Below are 17,922 nucleotides of genomic sequence, written 5' to 3'. Positions count from 1 at the left end.
TGCCAGAACATGAGGAGATGGTGTAGTGGTCAGAATATCAACCCTGACTGCTTATTCTAAAAGCCTAGCATCCAAGAAAGGCTTGATAATCTAGAAACAAAAATTGTACTTGTCAAAATTCATTATCCTGTATATACCTCAAATGTCTGCATTTTATTGCTTTTAAATTATACTTTAATTTTTAAAAAACATGAAAAAAAGATTGGAAAATGAGAAAGGAATAAAGGTACGTTATCAGATCCTGTGGCTAAAGGAAACTAAATAAATTTTATCTATTAACAGGATCAAAAGCAAAAAACAATAAGCAAAGGTTTAACAAAAAAGCTTCTGAGCTGCCTAAACACACAATTCCCTTGGATTATGAAAGGGACTTCAGTAAGTGATGACACCCTCTATTCGATTAAAAAATTGTAGTTCAGGCGGCTAAAGTGGGAGGATTGCTTGAGCCCAGGAGTTTGAGACCAGCCTAAGCCTAAGCGACAGAGTGAGGCTCTTTTTTTTTTTTTTTTTCCAGACAGGGTCTTGCCCTGTTGCCTAGGCTGTTGTGCAGTGGTGCACACACAGCTCACTGCAGCCTCAACCTCCTGGGCTCAATTGATCTTCCTGCCTCAGCCTCCTGAATAGCTGTGACTACAGGTACATACCACCCTGCCTGGCTAATTTTTTTTTTTTCAGAAACTGTCTAACTCTGTCACCCAGGCTGGAGTACACTGGCACAATCAACCCTCACTGCAGCCTCGACCTCCAAGCTCAGGTGATCCTCCCACCTCAGCCTCCTGAGTAGCTAGGACTACAGGCACGTGCCACTGTGCATGTCTAATTTTTTTTTTTTTTTTGTAGAGGTGAGTTTTTGCCATGTTGCCCAGGCTGGTCTCAAACTCCTTGGCTCAAGCAATCTGCCCACCTTGGCCTTCCAAAGTGCTGGGATTATAGGCGTGAGCCACCCTGCCTGGCCTACCCAGCTAATTTTTCAATTTTTTTGTAGAGATGGGGGTCTCACCATGTTGCCCTGGCTGATTAGACCCCATATTAAACAACAACCCACAACCACAACAAAACTGTAGAGAATTCTTGGGGGTGATGAGCAAGGTTTGATTTTTTTCCCTTCCATTATTTTCATGGTCTATAATTTAAGAATAGTTTGACTTTTTCATCAATATGAAAGTCGTGCATACTCATCCTAGCAAATCAAGACTCTGGCTCTTGGGATTTAGGCATTTCATGGTGTGGGGAGGATTAGATACATTTATTAAAAACCCAGGCTGAAAAACAAATGTCTTGTCCATCTGGAGATCTTATATTTATTTGAAAACCAAGTTCTGTGAAAGAGCACACTCAACAGTCATATATCTTCTCTTCAACCAAAGACTTGGAGACAGGGTTCTTCAGGTCAGTGCAGAGGCAACGATACATGCATTGAATAGCAGGTCTCGGCATGAATTTCCTCATAAGCATTCCCAATATGAGCCTGGACAATCTTCTTCAGATAAGCAAGTGAGATCCTGGGAAAGGGAAGAAAGAACAGTAGTAGCTAGGGTCATTCTTAATTTCAAGACATTCTTTTTTTTCCTCTTTACTATTAACTGTTGAAATCTAAAACTAGGCCCCAACCCTGCCTCTGCAGTCCTAATATACCAGTTTGTGCCACGACAGATTATAGTTTCCAAACTCCTAATGGACTGAATATTTTACCCCTTTGAAAACTAACAAGATTCCAGTTTCCAGCTATAAACCTCTAAGTCATTTTGTAATTAACTGCCTTGAAAGCTGTAATCAAGGGTTTTCCATGAGGTATTGCCAAAGGCTTGATGGGAGCTAACGTGAGTCACCTCAATTCTCAGACAGACTGAGTGATCATGATAGCCTACGCTGTACTGTGCAAGTTGGGTAAAGCTTAGGAAACTATCAAGGCTGAAAGATAATTTTCAAAAGTAAGTTTAGAAAATAGGAAGGTTAGTATAAATCTGCCTTTCTCTAAGGCCCAAACTAATAGTCTTCCTGAGGTATAAATATATTTTCCTACTAATGGCAGGTTTCTACCTTAATATTTATCTGAGATTTCTGCAAATCTTTCCTAAATTGCTAGTCAGTATCTAACACACAGCATGCTAGATTTGCAACCAGACCTTTAAATATAACAAATGATACTGTCCTTATTTTTTTTAAAGAGTAGAATGAATTGGCCGGGCGTGGTGGCTCACACCTGTAATCCCAGCACTTTGGGAGGCCGAGGTTCGCGGATCAGCTGAGGTCCAGAACTTGAGACCGGCCTGACCAACATGGAGAAACCCTGTCACTACTAAAAATACAAAATCAGCCGGGTGTGGTGGCGCATGCCTGTAATCCCAGCTACTCGAAAGGCTGAGGCAGGAGAATCGCTTGAACCCAGGAGGCGGAGGTTGCGGTGAGCCAAGTTTGCGCCATTGCACTCCAGCCAAGAGCAACAAGAGCGAAACTCCGTCTCAAAAAAAAAAAAAAAAAAAAAAATTGTCTGAAAACGTGTTTGTGCTTGGGTGGAATTAGGAAACCTTGATTATGTCTCACAATGTCTTCAAATATGTGATGAACACTCAAAAGAAAATGGGGAAATGAAGAACGACAATTTCATGAAATTAGATTACTCCAAACTTTCCCATCTAAAGACCCCTTTCAACACTGTTAAGACACTGATATAGTAAATGATCTTTGTCAATGGACACAGCCTTGTGGTTAGTCTAACTGACCTCAAAGTCCCTATAAGCACTATGTCTTATACACAGTAGATATTCAATAGCACCATCATAGAATGAATGAATGTTAAGGCTTCTATGCCAAAAATACTGTCGAAGGAGATGGGGAGAGAGAAAAATCAGTGAGAAGCCTATATTTGTGCTACTCAAAAGTGTCACCTATGGGCCAGTGCCAGTCCACAACTATAACTGATCCACAACAAGAAGCTTACATCAGAATGTAAATCAGCTCTATCACTAAGCAAACTGCAGTTCAGCTGATGTTTTGGGGAAGACTTTCTTGATGAAAGAAGCGTTGAGCAGACAGATTCTGGAGTAAGCTTCCTATCTCCTTATGGACCTATAAAAATAGTTTGCAGACCAGCCACTTTGAATAACGTGAGTAGAGTACGAGTCAAAGAGGAAAGAAAAAGGAATTTGTGGTTATATATGCAGAAAAAGGTTGAAACGGGGAAGTTTTAATACTGTTTAGGTAAATAAGGATTAAACACAAAAGGAAGGAAAAACGTGAGATGATGTCCTTGCAAAAAACATTTGTGAAGTATTGACAAAGAAGTTTCCCTTCATAATTTTGTTGCACACGCACCTCTGGCCCTTAATCATCAATATACTCAAATGGTTCTGGGGGTTCTGGCTCTTGTTCCTCCTCCTCGATTTTTGGGCCATGTGCTGCCACAGGTTCCACCAGCTCCTCAATGTCTTCACTGGTATCCTTCAGAATGATGATGCCTCCAATAGAGAGCTGGAAACACAGGGGCGTGCAGAAGCGTACACTCATATTTCAAGCGTGCTCCACAATCTAGAGTAAATACTTGTTAAATGGTACTTTAAAACTACTTAAATGATTTGGAAGTGAAAAACTGGAGTAGAACTTTACTGGGATAAAGATAACTGTGATCTATACGAAGTATTTGCAAACTTAACCCAGTAGCTCTAGATGGTATAACATGTGATGCTGTTCTACTTGGATGATGCATCCCAATTTAAGAATAGTTATTTCCCAGCCATGGCCTTGACTACCAGCCTCAGTCTCACTGCAGGAAGAATGTTTACTGTCCAAATATAGTATCCTAATTCCTTCCTACTCAAGATATGGTCCTGGGCCAGAAGCATCATTATCATCTGGAGCTTGTTAAAAATGCAGAAAAGCTGGCCCCACCCTAGATCTGCAGAATCTGCATTCTAACAAGATCCCAGTCAATCTGATGCACACTGAAGTTTGAGAAGCAGTCTAATGCACACTGTATGATTTGTGAGATGATAATCATTTTGAACACGAGAGTGTATAAATTAAAAGCCAATTTTTTCTCCAGCAATTTCAGAATGATGGAGAGAATAACACAGATATCCCGGGTTTTTCACTTTAATCTATAAATCCACGTGATGCAAGCCGATGAAAAAATACATGGGAAACAAAAGGGAAGTAGACTGTAGCAGCAATTCTATTAAGCCCTCTCCCAAACATATTACAGAAGGTAAATTCAAACACTAAACTATTCACCCCTCTCTAGTGTGCTAATCTTATTCTATTTGCTTGCCTGTGTCAAAGGAAATGGAAAGCTGCTCTATGTAATTAAATCAGTCAACAGTGGCAGGGCACATCTGGAAAAAGCATATTTCTACCAAAGCACATTACTGGGAAGGAAAAGAAGCACAAGTACATTAGTTAAATGATTCACGTATGTATAAGCATCTCTGCAGTTCAACCTAATCCAATTTTTACTCATCAGAACTCTGCCCTGCCATGCTATAAAACTGGTGTGCTTCGTGAACTCCGAACTATTTCCCTTCTCCTGACACACACATATCTATACATTTTTCTACAACCCCTTCCCTTAAAAAGTTTGCTTTCCTTGAAGAGGATCCATTTTATGAATGGACCCTGCCCTTACTGCCAATACTCCCAGAATGGAGCATAGGGCCACTGTCCTAATCCTCCATAGCCTAAAAGTTTACTTGAACCTAATGGACCAAATGGAGATGAATCTCCTACCAAACAGAAGAAAATATCCACGTTCACATGAGGACTTTCTATTTTTTGGAAAATGTGGATCCAGGTTATGCTATTTCATGCTTAACTGGAATGAAATAATCCAACTTAATCAAAGGAAGGCCTCATCATACAAAAACAACAGTAACACACACACAAAAAAAAATCCCAAAACTAATAATCCAAATCAACACATGGAAAGGGCTGTTTATAGCTATACATGGTCTAGGTTTGTTAATGCTTTACATGTTGGTGGGAAAGTTCACACCCTCTATGCATAAGATATACGATTTTCTGTTCTCTGGGGAGGCTAATTACAACTGTAGATATAGGCAATGAAACACTTCCTCTTGCCTCATGGTGGACAGGAAGCAGGGTAGGAATGTTACTTGTTTCCAAAACTACAGCTGCCTCTTTCAAATGCAGTGTCTGAGGAAGGGTCCCATGACCTTGCCACTGAGGGTAGGGGAGTGAGTCACTGCACATACACAGAGGCAGTGTTTTCTTTTTTAAAATGAGATATATTAACATAAAATTCATTCTCTCAAAGCGTACAATTTAGTACATTCACAAACTTGTGCAGCTATTAATACTTCTGCTATCTAATTCAAAAATATCTGCATCAACCTAAAGAAACTGTGGGCCCAGTAGCAGCCACTCTCCATTCTCCCCTTCCCCTGTCCTTGGTAGCCACCAATCTAACTCGTCTCTATAGATTTGCCTTTTCTGAATGTTTCACATAAAGGGAACCAGACCATATGCAGTCTTTTACGTCTGGCTTCTTTTACTTAAAATAATGTTTTCAAGGTTCACACACACTGTAGCATATATCAGTAAGTCTTTCCTTTTTATGGTCAAATAATATTCCATTATTATCTCACATTATTCATTCATCAGTTGATAAGACATTTAAGTTGTTTCCGTTTTATGGCTATTATGAATCATGCTGATATGAGCGTTAGTGTGTAAGCTTTTGTGTGGGCACAGTTTTCTCTTCTCTTAGGTATGGAATGGAATTGCCGGGTCATATGATAAGACTACATTTAACTTTTTGAGGAACTGCCAAATTCTTTTTTTCCACTGTGGCTGTAACTTTACTTTCCCACTATTACTCTATGAGGGTTCCAATTTCTGCATATTCTTGTCTGTGCGGTCTTTTTGATTACAGCCATCCTGGTGGGTAGAATGTGATATCTTCTTATGGTTTTGTGTTTCTTTTTAAATTAAGAGATGGGATCTTGCTATGTTGCCTAAGCTGGTGTCCAGTGGCTGTTCATAGGCACAATCATATTGCACTACAGCCTCGAGCTACTGGGCTCAAGCAATCCTCCTGCCTTGGCCTCCCATGTAGCTGGGACTGTAAGTGGGAACCACTGCACCTGTTATGGTTTTGATTTGCATTTCCTAATGAGTAATGATGTTGAGCATCTTTTCATGTGCTTATTTGCCCATCTGTACATCTTCTTTGGAGAAATGTCTATTCAAATCATTTGCCTGTTTTAAAATTAGGTTGTCTTTTTATTGTTGAGTTGGAGGAGCTTTTCGTATGTTCTAGATGTAACTGTCTTATCAGATAAATGATTTGAAAATATTTTCTCCTATTCTATAAAGTTTGTATTCCCTGATTTGTGTGTCCACTAAAGTCAATGCTCATTTAACTTAGTAGTCAGCTAACAACTGGACAGGAATTTCCTTAAACACTTTGGAACACAAAGTCTCCCACTCTTTGAAGGAGTGTGTGTGTGTGTGTAGGGCTATACCTTCAACAGGATTCCTCATTTCTTCCTTGCACAGACATAGGCAGTCTTTTAATTCATAGGTGGACCAACTGTTATAGCTATCTCTGACTTAATTTGAGCAAAGGCTTAGCAATCATTTAGTTTTCTACTGTGGTGTACAGTGTGCTCATATGGCCTCATGGCATTGAGCACGTGCCTCACTGTCTTAGTTCATAATTATCAAAAACACTAGTTATTTCACGTGCTTAGAGTATGCTCTAGTTGTGTCCTAATACATCTGTTCTGGATTCCCATGCTACTGGTAAGATAAGTTTACAGACACAGTTAGAATACGTTCTCTGTAAAACCGCCACCGAGATGAACCAGGTTGCAGATCAGACAGTGACTGCATTAAAGGTATCCATTGATGATTCTGTCCATTCATTTAACACTACACAGCAACTACTACAGATCAGGCAGTGCTACAGATTAGCATTTACCATTGTTTTAGGTGCTTTACATGTAACAACCTATTTAATCTCCACAACATCAACAGGAGGTAGGTAGCATTACCATATCAATTTTACAGATGAGGAAACTGAAATACAAAGATTAAATGACTTGTCTTAGTCACACAGCTAACAGTAGAAATAAAAACCCAGTTATGCCAAATTCCAGCTCTAAACCACTACATACACTATCTTGCATCCCTTGGCTTTATCTCTTCTAGCTGATAAATTAGTCAGGTTAAGACCCCGACTCACAATTATAGATAGGAGTTGCCTTTGACCCACCATCAGGTTGATAAGAATAAGTTTACTCTTGTATAAGGATAAGGATCTAGAAATCGAATCTCTGACATTTTAGACAGATCTAGCATCTGGATGTCTTGGATGGGTCTACTGATGGCGCTCTAGTTATCTACAAGAACCTGGAAGATAAAGGCAGTATCACACTCATATTTCTGATAAGCATTTGTTTTTAACATGAAGCACTCTGTCTTGGAATAAATTAAATTCCATGAAGATCCTTTTCTAACTAAAATGCAATGCATTTATGACAATGGTGTAATGAAATAGAAAAAAAAAAAAGACAACGGTGTAATTACCATAGTAATCAATACTTATTGAGCAGTCCCAAGTCTTGTTCTCAGTGCTTGTTCAATCTGTGCCTCATTTCTGAGTCAGGGATGGTAATCTCTGTTTTATAATAAAGAAAACTGAGGCAGAGAGAGATTTAGTACCTGGCCTAAGGTCACTTAGCCTGAGCAGTATACTCAAGATTCAAATCCTGTATGCTTGGCTGTAGAGTCTATATTCCTAATCAAATTGTTGTATTAGGAACTCCTACGTCGTATGTCTGTGGTAGAAGACGGGAGTTTGTAGGGTTACACAGGGAAAAGAAAAATTCTCCCAAATCTATATGAAATGGAAAAGAACATTCTCTCTTTTGTTAAATAATTTCTTAGAACTAGTGAGCTTGCTCCAATGCTTTGGAGATTTATCATTCTCTATCAATATTCTATTGTCCTATGGATTAATATCCCACTGGTATATACAGCTAAGAGTCACTGGTAACTTACTGGTTTGAAAGGCTGGTATCTACAGGTCTCCGGCATGGTTAGGACCTTAAGCTGGGCAGGCATAACTCGGGCTGGGTTATCCAATAACTGGAAGTTTGGCTCAGGTTCTTTTTTCTTCTCTTTTTCCTCCTTTTTCTCTGCCTCATCCTATAAAATAAAATTTAAAAAAAGTTCAACAGAAGTTCATTTCTGTTCCACAGAACTGAGTAACATCTGAAGTTGACTGAGCAGCTATAAGGTACAAGAGGTAGTGGTCGGTAGTAATGGAAGTACAACTAAAGTGCTATCAGACTCAGAGGAGGGAAAAGTAACTCTGCTTAGGAATGAGAATGGTATTTGACTTGGTTTTAAAGGATTAAAAAGGTTTTTCTACCAGCAGAGATCAGAAAAAGGTCTACCTAAACAAGTGATAATCCCTTTGCTTGAAAGGGTTTTTCTTTCTCCTACCTCATCATCTTGTCTGTGAAAAACCTACTTTGCCCTTCAAAACCTATTTTAGTTGTCATTTGCTCCAGGAACTTTTTACTGATTTGTACCCTTCTATTCTTCCCACAAATGGATATATTTTCGAGTCTCTTTCAAGTACAGTTTGATGATTCTACATGCTGGCAACAGGATAATTGTTTGAAGGAAGCCAAGAGCAAGGTAGAATAATATTCAACTAAGGAAGAATCTCGACCATGACAGAGACAGAGATACTTCAATCCATATGACCACCAATTTATACCTACCACTTCCATTTTCTCCTCCTCCTTTTTTTCCTTTTCTTTTTCCTTCTTTTTAGCCTTGGCAGTTATAGATAATACAGCAGTAGAAACCTGGGGAAATGAGCAGGGTAAACTGTTGTAATCCCTTACTGACATACAAACATGCAAGCCCTAGAGAACTCAGTCCTACAACACTATTCTATTTCCTAGCTGTATTACATATATATATATATATATATATATATATATATATATATATATATATATATATATATAAATATATATAAATCAAAGAATAAATGGGAAAACTAAGCAGGACATTTACTGAAATAATTTACTACTCTTGTCATCAAGTGAATCTTTAGTTCTTGGAGGCTTGTGTCCAATATAACTCTTCCCTTTTTTTTGATCTGTAGCCTACCTTGGATATGAATTTGCTCTCATGTACTTCCAAGATTGAGATTTGGGTGCTATAGCCTTTTTGCTTTACAGGAAAGCAATGGAAAATAGAACAATTTCCTTCAGCGCTGGTTGTAGATATCCTCTCTGGACTATATGTCTTACAATGCTAATACACAGTGGGTGAGTGGTTAGCCTATATTATTCTCCTTCATGGGTCTTGCTGAAAACAAAGGTGAAAAGCTGGGCAATACTGGTGTAAAAGCTGACTTTGTTTCAGACCCAAAGGAGGGTCTGAAACATAGCTGATGAAACAAGATGCTGTCAAGGCTATTCCTTAACTGCTACCCTCAAATTTGGTTAATTATCCTTACTTATACACAAAATTTACAGCAAATAATCAACAACTGGCCAATATGAAAATTATGAGAGAAAGAGCCACTTTCCTATATATAAGGTATCAAAAAAAGTATAATTTTACTGAGTAAAACTTTATGGGCAAGTACAACTCTTTAATGTATTATTCTTTAATACAGGAGTGTCCTCATACACAGTTGGTAGGAGTATAAAGTGATTATGTCCATTTTGAAAGGCAAATTAGTTAATAACTATGAACATAATGTGCATTACTTTTGATCAAGTAACCTGACATCCAGGATTCTAACCTACAGATATACTCACACAGTGCACAAATACATGTGTATAAAGACTTTCAATTCCAGGCTCACTTGTGTAGGGCTAACAAATGAGAAATAACCTTAAATGAATATCAAAGAAAAAACTGGTAAAACAAACAGTACTACACATAGTAAAGGCATTGTTTTGCAGCTCTGGGAAAAAATGAGATCTGTATACATTGAAAGTTTTAAAAATAAAAAAAAATATAGTTAATGTGAAAACAAGATGCAGAAAAGTATGTAGAGAATAATTTTATTCGTGGTATAAAAAGTACTGACATGTGCAGAGAAAACCTTCAGAGGGATTCAGAAGTTGTGACTCCTGTGACATGAGACTTGGATGACCAAGAGACAAAAAGGACTTTCACTTCATATTCTTGTGTAATGTCAAATGTTAGCATAAGAAGTGTTACTTTTAAAACATAAAAGATAGTTAAAGAAAAAGTAAAATACTCAGTGGCTCCTATATTTAAGTACAAATGCTGCTAAAAGGAACAAAGAACCTACCTTTTCCTTTTCTTTTTCTTTTGGTACTTCCAGAGGGGCAGGATATGCAAATGTGGATGGTTTACAGTTCGATTTATACTGAACTTTCGGCATCTGAAGAAATTCCATTAAAATAACATTGGCTTTAAGTACTCTGTGCTCTCCACAGGCATACGGATACAAAAGGAGACCAAAGTTTTAATGCAGGCTGTATGTTCAACTATGTTATGACTCCTCTCTGAAAGCCATGTCTACTTTTACTGATTTAGTTTTTAGGTTCTTTACAGAATTACCTGCAGTTCTCTATACTTTTCTTAATCTCTGTGCCTTTGAATGGGCATCCCTTTATCTTTATGAACAAACCAACCTGCTTCAATGGGTAAGTCCTATTCATGGTGTGAGCATCAGATCAACTGTTCTCTCCTTTGTAAAGCATTTGATGGTCTATCCTGCATACAAACTGCCATTTCCCTTCTTTGTACCAGACTAGTAACTTACACTAGCCTGAATACAATTTCCACACCATATATAATCATGCCTTGTAAGAGTGTAACATGAGCCTAATAGAAAGTCAGCTTCACATTACCTAGTGACCAGTTTTAAAGTTCTTTGGTCTCAATTTTTCCTTTCTTTCTTTTTTTTTTTTTTGAGACGGAGTTTTGCTCTGTTGCCCAGGCTCTGGAGTGCAGTGGCGCAAACTCAGCTCACTGCAAGCTCTGCCTCCCGGGTTCAGGCCATTCTCCTGCCTCAGCCTCCCGAGTAGCTGGGACTACAGGTGCCCGCCACCATGCCCGGCTAATTTTTTTTGTATTTTTAGTAGAGACGGGGTTTCACTGTGTTAGCCAGGATGGTCTCAATCTCCTGACCTCGTGATCCACCCGCCTCGGCTTCCTTTCTTTCTTTCTTTCTTTTTTTTTTTTTTGAGACAGAGTTTCACCCTGTTGCTCAGACTGGAGTGCAGTGGTGCAATCTCAGCTCACTGCAACCTCTGACTCCTGGGTTCAAGCGATTCTCCTGCCTCAGCCTCCCAAGCAGCTGGGACTACAGATGTGCACAACCACACCCGGCCTGAATTTTTCTCTATTTACCCAATCTGCATTGATGGAGGATGATAATAAATACCACCATAAGGACAAAGAACCTTATCTTCTCCATCCCATTTTCATCACAAAGAGTAAAAACAGCAGTCATAAAATTGTTTGGCAGAGAATAAAATAGGTTATACAGGATGTTTAATTACAATGTTAAAAGTTGGGGATTGGGAAACCAAGGGATTCTTGTTCTGACAATAAAGCTGCTCAATATTTACAAATGTGAGCAGTTTTAATACCGAAACACTTAACGAAGGATAACTGGCTGTACAGCTATACTGAAAAATCAATACAAAGAAATATTCTATTTTTACCAGTCAGTTTTAAGCCTAAAACTTTTCCACTCTGAAAATTTAGTAGAACATTTCAACAGTGATGACCAGATGTAAGAGTTATTTAAAGGTCAAAAAGCCTTTTGACTTTTAAAGAACAAGAAGATGAATCATCAAGTCACAGGACTAAGAAAGACCTAAACACAAACTCCATTAAAAAAATATGACCACAAATGTGATGACAGGGCACGCAGTGCCTTAAATTTCTGACTTAAGTCAGCAGTTACATTCCATCAGATTCCCTAGCTCCTCACAGTTGGTCTTGTTTCCTGCTTCTACCAAAGGGTCATCCTCCTATTTTGCTTTTTCCCTTTAGTAATAATTCTTTCTTCCATCAACCACTCGAGTATCAGATAACTCTGGAAGATTTAGTTTAGGTTTGCATTCTTCCTTGCCCAGACTACTGCAATAGCATTGTAATGAGTTTCCACTGATACCAGAAAGATCTTTCTAAATGGAAATCTCATGTTCATTTATCATTTGAAATCCTTCGACAGTTCCCAGGCTTTAGTATTAAATAAAATTCATCAGAGTGGTATATAAAGCCTCTTCGTATGTTTATATTTAGCCCCCTCTCTCACCATTCTTTCTCAACTAATTACTTGAAGTTACACAGCTAGTAAGGAGATATGCTTTTCAAAACTTTCAATGACACACTCCATTCAAAAAGGTGACGATTCAACTTGAAGGGAAAATGTTATTATAAGATGTTAACTCATCTTTAAAATTTAATGGAAATCCTTGCAAGTGGGCGGTAAATATGAATAAGATACGGTGAACAGGAAATACTACAAAGCTGAGGTCTCACAGACATACCTTTAAGTCCTTGTTAAGGCCAATGACACAGGTAGGGGTATAAGCCAATGACAGGAAGTGTGAAAGAGGAAACCAGAACCAAAACTGGGTAAATACAAGGACGCCAACCACAGAAGGCATATGAGTATGCCCAGTCCTGGACTGCAAGGAGATTGTGACATTATGACCACCTGTAGAAAAAGAGAGAAACCATGAACAATAATAGTATTGTCCTATTATTATAGTAGGACAATAATAACGATATCTTTCTTTCTTTCTTTTTTTTTTTTTTAAAGAGATAGGGTCTCACTGTTACCCAAGCTCGGGTGACAGAGTGAAACACTGCACCCAAGTGCAGCAGCACGATCATGGCTCACTGCAGCCTCGACCTCCTGGCCTTAAGGGATCCTCCTCTTTTAGCCTCCCGAGTAGCTAGGACTACATGTGCGGGCCGCCACACCTGGCTGATTTTTAAATTTTTTGTAGAGACGAGGGTCTCACTATGTTGCCCAGGCTAGTCTCAAACTCCTAGCCTCATATGATCCTCCCGACTCAGCCTCCCAAAGTCTTGGGATTACAAGCATGTGAGGCACTACACCCAGGCAATAATAAAGATTTGTAAGTGCTGCAGTAGGGAAACATCTGGTGATGATTTTAAAAGCACAATTCATATGTGCAGTCTAATATGCAGTCCTTGGAATTAGTGAGTTATCCAGGCTCTCCAAAATTGGAAGTGTACTTTTAACTGGATTTAGCACACATCTAGACTTACTTTCTCTATAGGCAGGCGTTTTTCAAAAACTAGGCCTGAAGGGTATCAAAACTGTGATGCTAAATTAAGTATTAATCTGCATTATATATTGGCTTTTCATGTGTTAATAAAAAGCAAAGTTTTAGTATATACTTTTTGCACACCATAGCAGAGGCAAGCATAGATAGTTTGCTTAGTTTTACTCTTTCCGCTTCAATCATATGCAAATACATATTTATAATATACTTACACATTTATAAAAATTTATATAAAACAGTAAAGAATATGTTCTGACTCTTGGTCTTTTAGGTGCTAAGCAGCATAAACATTATTAGAATTTTGAGAAATATCCCTTACAAATTATGAAGATTTATATGCAGCTATATAAAAATCTACGAAAGCATTGAGCATTACCCTACGAATTATTAAGCCACTTAAATTGGTGGGAGGAGCTCTGACATTAACTAGCCCTGTAACCATGGACAAAACACTTTATTTCTAATTCCTTTTCTCCCATTAGCAAAATGAGGGGTTGAATTTGAACACTTGAACGAGAGCACTACCACTTACAAAAGAAAACTTAACCTCTAACCCTAACTGAAATTTTTCTAAGGAAACACAATATGTAAAGGAATGAAATCAGAGCTGCTTCTGTTTAATCAGAAGTTTGGACTGCTGGGAGAATATATGGCCTGGAACCAGGGGTCCCCAAATCCTGGGGCTGCAGACCTGTCCATGGCCTGTTAGGAACCTGGCTGCAGAGCAGGAGGTGAGCGGAGGGCAAGTGAGCATTACCACCTGAGCTCTGCCTCCTGTCAAATCAGCTGTGGCATTAGATTCTCATAGGAATGTGAACCTTATTGTGAACCGCGCACGCGAGGGATCTAGGCTGAACGTTCCTTATGAGAATCTAATGCCTACTGAACTGAGGTGGAAAAGTTTCATCCTGAAACCACCCCACCCCCGTCGTAGAAAAAAAAATTGTCTTCCATGAAACCTGTCCCTGGTGTCAAAAAGGTTGTGGACTGCTGCCCTAGACTATTCCTCTAGAGTGCAGATAAAGTTTGAAAGCCAGTGAACTAGAGCTAAGATCCAAGCCATCAGTTGGGGAGAGCTGGTGAGCCCTTGTAAGGCTGAGATTCTAGGAGGCTATGAGGGATTACCAACTCAAATGCCTTTAGGAACAAGTCAAGTAAACAAATAAGGAATAAGTGGGCTGGGAGCAGTGGGGACTGAAGCAAACTGTAAAGTACATGTACTATTTAAAGGGAGCTTGTTACTGGGGGTGTAGGTCCAGGATTACTAGGTCATTTTGTTTTTAAAACTGAAGCAAACTGGAAAACACATGTTCTATTTAAAGGGAACATCTTACTACAGTGTAGGTCCAGGGTCACTAGGTCATTTTGTTTTTAAAAGTAGACTATGGATTTTGTCCAAAATCTTGCAAATTTTGTTAGGCAGGCAAAACAAAATACACCATTATCAGATTTGGCCCATGCGCTAGATGGTAACAGAGTTAGTGCTGGATCACAGAACTTTGAAATGCAAGAATCTTCATTTAAATAATATATCCTATAAAAATGGGGCTTGTCTGTGCCTAATCAGGGTCTTAATTGGAATTCCAATGTGGATTCCTGTTGCTTACATTTCTCTTCTCTTGATCTCAGTGTTTTATAGGCATCTTCACATTTTGCTTGGAGTCAAGAACCAAACACTGACTTGACTTGACTAAACCAAGCAGCATTTTAATTTTTATAAGAATCAGGGTTCTACTGTTCAACCAAATAATCTAGATTTTCTTAATACTCCACTATAGGTATTTAAATTTTTCATCTGAAAAAAAGGCCAGGTATACTTTAATCTTGTTTTTCCAATAGAAATGAATTATATACATTTATTGTCTACTTGTACTCTTCCCTACGCTAACCCCCATTCACTGAATGCTAACTATATGTTGAGGATTGTGAATAACATACTGGAAAAGATCCTAAGGAGACTCCAGTCTCACAAAGAAGACAGATAATTTGATAATTAAAATAAGATATGAAAGTATTATGATAGCTATAAACCTGGGTGCTAGTGGGAACATTTCACTAAGACATAGTAACTAACCTGGGATGGAGACTGGGGAGGGGCAGAAGAGAGGAAAACGATGCCTAGCTAACGTGCTATTTGATCTAACTTTGAAGCTGAATTTCCTTTTAGTTCAATGAAATCTATCTTCTTCGGACTTCGAAGCTAAATTAGCCTTTTGTTCTAACATTCTGAGATTTAATAAATAAGGTAGAGTTTATCATATTGATAATTTGCAGTTTAACAAACTTCAATCAACTTCTTTATCTTCGGCTTTTCTCCCGGAAGAGACTGAATCACTGAGTGAGTTCTCATAAACTTCAACTTCATTCCTTCCCTTGAAGTTGCCCTCTCTAGATTTTTCTCTACTACCACTAATTTTCTTTTTTCTTTTTTTGAGATGGAGTCTCATTCTGTCGTCCAGGCTGCAGTGCGGTGGCACAATCTCAGCTCACTGCAACCTTCACCTCCAGGCTCAAGCAATTCTCGTGCCTCAGCCTCCTGAATACCTGGGAATACAGGCATGCACCACCACGCCCAGCTAAGTTTTGTATTTTTAGTAGAGACAGGGTCTCACCATGCTGATCAGGCTGGTCTCAAACTCCTGACCTCAAATGATCCACCCACCTCGGCCTCCCAAAATGCTGGGATTACAGGTGTTAGCCACTAAGCCAGGCCTACTACCACTAATTTTACTGAGAGAAGATCAAGACTGCAAATTTTTCTAACGCAGTTGCAGCACAGTGTTCTACGAGGATAGGATATTAAAAAGTGAAAAAGGACATGAGATTAATTCTATGCTCATAACAGTGAACACTACAGTATAGAACTTTTATGTAGGGCCAGGTGTGGTGGCTCACACCTGTAATCCCAGCACTTTGGGAGGCCGAGGTGGGTGGATTGCCTGAGATTAGGAGTTTGCGACCAGCCTAGGCAACACGGTGAAACCTAGTCTCCACTAAAATACAAAAAATTTGCCGGGCATGGCGGTGTGCACCTGTAGTCCCAGCTACAGGAGGGACTGAGGCAGGAGAATTGCTTGAACCCGGGAGGTGGAGGTTGCAGTGAGCCGAGATCATGCCACTGCACTCCAGGCTGGGTGACAGAATTGGCCCCCCCCAAAAAAAAGAACTTTTATGTAATAAATGTCTAAAGCAAAAATTGTTATAAATAAAGAGAAACAGAAAGAAGCACCAAAACTTGATTGGTCCACGAGACAAACAGATAAAGTAAAAAAGCCCCAAACAAAAAAAGAAGATATAAAAAAAAAAAAAAAGAAAAAGAAAAGACAAACAGAGGCTGAAAGAGGAAGGAAGAGAACACAGTGAGATGACTTGTAGTAAATCTGGCAGAGAAGAGGCGAAACATAGAATTATCCTCCCCTAATTCTTTTTTCTTAATATATAATTTTATATTTTTAATTAAAAATTTATTTTTCTTTTTTTGTATTGCTCCTTGCAGAGCAGGGCTACCCTACAGGTAGTGTGCCCAGAGCAGTCTCCCCCAATTCTTAACAAGTAACCCAAATATAGTAAAAACCAGCAAAAAACTGTGGTAGTGGTGAACAAGTGAAGGGGTGTAGTCTAAAATCATACACTTTAAAAAGTGGCAGCTAAAAGAGAAAAAAAAGATTACAGAGCAGTAAAATGTTATCCCTAAATGTTGTTTTAAATACTCACCACCAAAAGAAGTAATCTGAAAAGGCTACATAATGTATTATTCAAACTATATGAAAATCTGGAAAAGGCAAAACTAAAACTGTGGAGAGAGTTCAATTAGGATAAGTAGTAAGTTCAGGAGATCTATAGTACAGCATGATGACTACAGCTAATAATAATGTACTGTATATTTGAAAATTACTTAAGGAGATCTTAAATTTTCTCATAACAAAAAATGATAAGTATGTAAGGTGACAGATATGTTAATTAGCTTGATTTAACTATTTTACTATATATATATCTCAAAGCACCATGTACACTGTATGTATAATTTCTATTTATCAACCATACCTTAATAAAATAAATAAGTTTTTTAAAAAGAAAAAGAATGAAAAAGGGGATATCACTACAGATTCCACAGACATTGAAAAAGTAAGAGGATATTATAAAAAAACTTTCAATAAATTCAAAACTTTATCTATTAAAACAAAATAAAACTACAGAGACAGTAAAAAGGTCAGGGACTTGTGGGGAGGGCAAGGAGGGATAAATAGGTTAAGCACAGGGAATTTTTAGGGTAGTGAAACTATTTTGTATCATACTGTTATGGTAGACACATGTCATTAAAGATCTGTCAAAACCCATAAAATGTACAACATAAAGAGTGAACTCTAATGTAAACTAGGGACTTTAGTTAATAATAATGTGTCAATATTGGCTCATTGATTGTAAGCAAATATACCACACTAACACAAGATGCCAATAACAGGGGAAATTGGAGGGGCAAAGGGGACATATGGAAACTCTGCATTTCTTCCTCAATTTTTTCTGTAAATCTAAAAAATTTTAAAAGCCCAATTAATAAAACTTAATTACTGATAAAATCCAGCCAATTAAGTGTCTAGACTTAGTACAGATAACCTAAGAATGAAAA

The 17,922-nt window shown here is 38.3% G+C and overlaps 1 protein-coding gene across 3 annotated transcripts in view; it reads right to left on the bottom strand.

The window, feature by feature from the left end:
- Positions 1 to 1,209: 1,209 nt before the first annotated feature.
- The window catches only part of PSMD1 (proteasome 26S subunit, non-ATPase 1), a 115,961-nt gene continuing 99,248 nt past the window's right edge, over positions 1,210 to 17,922 (bottom strand). For 2 of the 3 annotated variants that reach the window (NR_034059.2, NM_002807.4), the window contains 6 exons: positions 12,528 to 12,697; positions 10,310 to 10,402; positions 8,751 to 8,837; positions 8,020 to 8,166; positions 3,316 to 3,471; positions 1,210 to 1,502 (listed from right to left, as the gene is read on the bottom strand). Coding sequence is in view for 2 of the 3 variants with exons in the window: in NM_002807.4 (NP_002798.2) it covers positions 3,325 to 3,471; positions 8,020 to 8,166; positions 8,751 to 8,837; positions 10,310 to 10,402; positions 12,528 to 12,697 (644 nt within the window). In the remaining variant the exon portion in view is untranslated. The remainder of the gene's footprint in view (positions 1,503 to 3,315; positions 3,472 to 8,019; positions 8,167 to 8,750; positions 8,838 to 10,309; positions 10,403 to 12,527; positions 12,698 to 17,922) is intronic. The other variant, NM_001191037.2, reaches the window with a different exon arrangement.

This window comes from Homo sapiens, chromosome 2, assembly GCF_000001405.40.
Source record: "Homo sapiens chromosome 2, GRCh38.p14 Primary Assembly".
Taxonomy (NCBI): Eukaryota; Metazoa; Chordata; class Mammalia; order Primates; family Hominidae; genus Homo; species Homo sapiens.
Note: the sequence above shows the minus strand (reverse complement) of the source record. Positions and strands in the feature narration are given on the sequence as shown.